Consider the following 4,436-nt stretch of genomic DNA (forward strand, 5'->3'; position numbering starts at 1 on the left):
ATCATGTCTACCTGGAGAGACAGCGTGCCCAAGAATGAAGCTACCCAAGGGGAAGCAGAGCAGAGATAGACAGGCAGATGGAGACAGCCTCTTTGGAGACCCTCCATGAGCTGCTCCACCCTCGGAGCAACAGTGAGCAGTGGGATCCTCCATGTGCTGCTCCACCATCAGGGGCGACAGTGAGCAGCAGGATCTTCCACGTCCTGCTCCACCATTGCTGGTCACCGTTGCTCCAAGTCTAGCCCCTGTGGCAAATCCATGGCTCGGTGGTCAGGATTCATGCCTGTGCAAGTGACTAACATCTGTTTCAAAACTTACAATGTGACAGTTGACTAGTTTATGGAATCAGAAAATGTAAGGGGTAGATGGGTTTCAGGCACAGCTGGATCCAGGAGGTGAGTCTGTCATCAGATTGCTGTCTCACTGGCTCCCGATGGTGGAGCAGCACATGGGAGGTCCCACTGCTCACTGGTCCCCGATGGGGAGCAGCTCATGGAAGGTCTTGCTGCTCTGGGTGGCCAGGAGCCCCCTGTGCCAGGAGCCTGGTGCTCAGGAGAGCTGCACCAGGCCCCACAATGTCCATGGGTGATGTCCTGGTGCTGCAGGCAGCAGGTCAGGGCTTAGTGACCATACAAGTTCGGGGTGCCCAGAGGAAGGAAAACCCAGCTGCCAAAATGGGATTCCCCCACGAGAGCCTCCAGCCCAACTGCCGCCCCTCAGTGACCTCATGAATCGATGCAGCTGCAGGTCAGGGTGCGGATTTCCTGAGTGCTGCATGTGCGCAAAGACCACTCGGCCCGCATTGGACGGAGCGGTGTGGCCCCCTAAGATGCTGACCAGCCCCGGCCAATCATCTCCAGCCACAGCCACCCAGGGCAAGTATTTGTAGGCCCAGCTACTTCCTGTCACTCACGTGTGAGCACACACAGGATAGAGGGTGACGCGGGTGGTGCCGTCCACCCAGCTTCCCCGCAGGCTTCGTTCCCAGCTCACCCACCTCCACACGCGTGCACACACACGCACACACATAAACACACGCGTGTGCGCACACACACAACCACAAATATCGTGAGACCACGCAGCCCTGGGTTTGAGAACCAAAAAGCCAAGAAATGGTGCGTGGGCTCAGCAGAAATGACTGTCCTGGGGGCTGGAACGGACGATGTGGCGACATCATCAGCCGACCGTAAACACCAGGCTCACACTGGCCTATTTTAAAAACAAACGCAAGACAAACTCATCCCTTCCTTCCCGCTTTCCACCTCCCCTGTGAAATCTATTTTAAAAGATCAGAATTTTCTTTACATCCACCTCCGAAATGTGCTGCGGGAGATAAGTGGGGCATAAACACATGGGGGTGCCGGGGGCGGCGGAGAGCCAGGAGCGGGAAGGAGCCGAGGGATTCGCAGCCCGAAGTGGAGGCTGATTCCCCAAACCCTCAGCTTCACAGCAGCCTTGGCCCCTGCCAGGTGAACGTGAAGGAGCAGCCTTCCGGATTCCAGAGCTCCAGGCTCTCAGGGACCCTGAGGCCCTGACCGTCTCCTCACAGGCCTCCTCCAGGGGCTTGAGTCAGGAACCTGGAGCAGGGCTTGGGAGGTGGCCGGTCCCTGTGCCAACGGGTGGAGACCAGCGTGTGTGACACCACCATGCACTAGGCCCCAGCTGGCCTCCCCGACACTCTACAGAGCTCACCTGTTGGGTGACAGAGCACTGTGTCTGCTTTCCATATGGACAGGGAGCGCCCGATCCTACCAGGGACCCTCACTGTTGGGAACCCAAACCCCAGCTCAGCTGCAGTCCCACTCACCCCCACTGGGCAGCCCTCATGCCCTGGGTCAGGAAGATGCCCGCTCTGCCCAACTCACAGCGCCCTATACCATAAAGGAGGCACCAGGGTCCACACCGGCCTGGGGAGAGACAGCCCACAGCAGCTCCAGCTCAGAGACGGAGACGGCAGAGTGGTACCCTGCAGAGCAAGCCGCTCTATCTCCTTGTCCCTCCACTTGAGAGGTTCATCGGGGTCCCCTATCTGGTCCAGAGAGGGTGGCCCCTGTGCAGTGCAGTGCCCCATCTCATCCAGTGGAAGCTGGAACGGAACTTGGGGGCTGGACAGTGTGGCCGGTACCCTCCCTCACCCTGGCTAGCTAGACTGGGGGTCCGCCTAGGCCATGGAAACAGCTCCAGCCAAGTTCCACTTGGAGCTCGCAGGTCAAAGGGCTGACACCCTCACCCAAGGGCGCCCTAAGAGCCCCTGGGAGCCCCTGCTGCTCTTCCCCGAGGGAGCCCACCCATCCTCACAGACCTGCTCCCCTAGGCTGATCGCCGGCTGACTGTGTGTCCCTGAGAGCTCTGGGAGGCGGCTGAGTGTGTGTGGGTTCACTCTCCTGCCCGAGCCCTGCAGCACAGACCACCCTGCCCTGGGTCTGGTTCAGGGTCCTAGGGCTCTTCAGCCCAGCACTCCCAGGGAGCCCCACCTTTGAGGCCCCATGGAGCTGGATGTGGAGTACAGGGGTCCCCACCGCCCTCACAGCCTGAGGCCCTGAGGGAGAATGGAAGGGGCAGGCCTAGTGAGCCCTTCCCCAGCCAGGCTTTTGTTTCCCCCACGAGCAAGAGGAGGCGGGGAGCGGGCAAACTCCACTCATGCTCTTGACCGCTCGGCCAGGCATCGTTCTTCTCAAGGCCAAGGGCAGACAGCAGCCTGGCCCAGGCCCATGCCAGGGCCCTTCTGGGAAAGGGAGACACAGTCTATTTTTGCTCTCTGACAACACAACAGAAACAGCCGCTGTGACTTATCTCCACTGCTGAAGGACTGAGGCAGCCACACAGCTGGCTCTGCGCCCTGGGGCTGCGCAGCCCCCTACCTCAGCCCCAGCTTGAGATAAGAGTGGCGTCAGGGAGGGGCTTCAACCAGGCCAAGAATACCCCCCACCTCTCACCTCTCTGTGGTCTGCACGCCTGAGTCTGCCCCTCCCACAATTCCTCCAGGACCCCTCTAGGACTTCCTGGCCTGAGCTGGACATCCCATGGGAAGTTTTTCGCAGCCCAGCTAGGATCTCACTTCTTTGTGCAACGTCACCTACTCCGAGGCCCAGAGCCCTTGGAGGCACCCTCCCATGTCAGAGGCCAGGAGCCTGGATTTCCGGAAACCCCAGGCTGTTGCCCCTCCTGCTGGAGGAGCTGCACGTCTTTCCTCTGAGGCCTGAGTGGAAGTGAATTTGCCAGATAATTTTAGCACAGAAATGAGCACTCAGAGGAGGGGCAGAGCTTAGAAAGGTCAACAAGGACGAAGAGAATGCCCATGAGGGGTGCTGTGGCCTGCAGGGCCAGCCCTGGCCTCCTGTGACCAGCAGTGACCCAGGCAGCCATCCCCACACTGCTCACCGCACACTAGGCTTGTTGGAAACCTCGGAGCCCCAGCAGAAGGCAGGTGGCCTGCCACACCGCTACGACATTGTCCCCTTTCTCACATGGCAGCCTGGAGTAGGTGCACCTTGCCAGGCTGGGCGTAGCTGGGAAGGCCACATGGCCACCTGGGATGACCCTGGGTGACGTCCCAGAGAGGTGATCTGCAGGCCTCAGCTGTCAATTCCCTGCCTGGAGGGTCATCAGGCTGGTTCCTGATTCCAAGGACTGAGCCCACATGATACAGCTGAGCTCTCCCCACCAAGGCCCATGCTGGGGGTCACAGAGCCCTCTGGAGGAGTAACTGTGACCATGTCTGGGCACTGTGGAGCCAGCTGCCTGGAGATGAATTCCTGCAAAGAGTTTGCCTGCAAGGGCTCCCTCTGCTCATCACAGTGAAGCCTGACCTGGGATTGTCTCTGGGCACCTCCTCCTTTTGTCTTCTTTTGATCAAAGTGTGGCCAGTGGTGGCCTGCAGCTTCCGCCTAATAAATCAGGGTGCTGGGCACAATAGGCTCTTCACGTCAGGTGTCGTTCAAGACCCCATTAAACAGGAAGATGGCCCAGGGTCTGTGTGGTATTTTTCACCGCTGTGAACGTGAATGTGGAGAGGCAGAGTGAAGGGTCCTTTTGAACTTTGTGGAAGAGGCAGCTCCCTCTCTGTTCTCCAAAGCTTCCTTGGGGTGAGTTACATAAACGGCAGCAAATCCAGACCCTGGATTGGGCACTGAGCACCTGCTAACATGATTCCGTGGAGTATGTCTATGGTGCTGTGACCCGCATGAAAATCCCAGTAGGCCTTGTGTGACTGGATCAAGTTACAAGACTGTGGACATACAGGTGACCTCGTTATTACCACTTGTTTGGAAGGAAATTTTACATAGGACAGAATGCACACATGCTCAAAGGCACAATCTGATGAGTCTTGGTAACTTTATATCCCCAGGGCCAGCAGCACAATCAAGACAGAGCATTTCCAGGGCTCCATAAAGTTCTCTCCTGCCCAATTCCAGTCAAATTCCAGTCAATCTCCA

The 4,436-nt window shown here is 58.3% G+C and overlaps 1 annotated feature.

The window, feature by feature from the left end:
* Nucleotides 1,314-4,112: an enhancer, noted in NCBI's record as "VISTA enhancer hs1750". NCBI's record gives its function as "enhancer in: heart[7/7]" and the evidence as "EXISTENCE:transgenic organism evidence [ECO:0001131][PMID:17130149]".

The sequence above is a fragment of the Homo sapiens genome, chromosome 2 (assembly GCF_000001405.40).
Source record: "Homo sapiens chromosome 2, GRCh38.p14 Primary Assembly".
In the NCBI taxonomy this organism is placed as follows: Eukaryota; Metazoa; Chordata; class Mammalia; order Primates; family Hominidae; genus Homo; species Homo sapiens.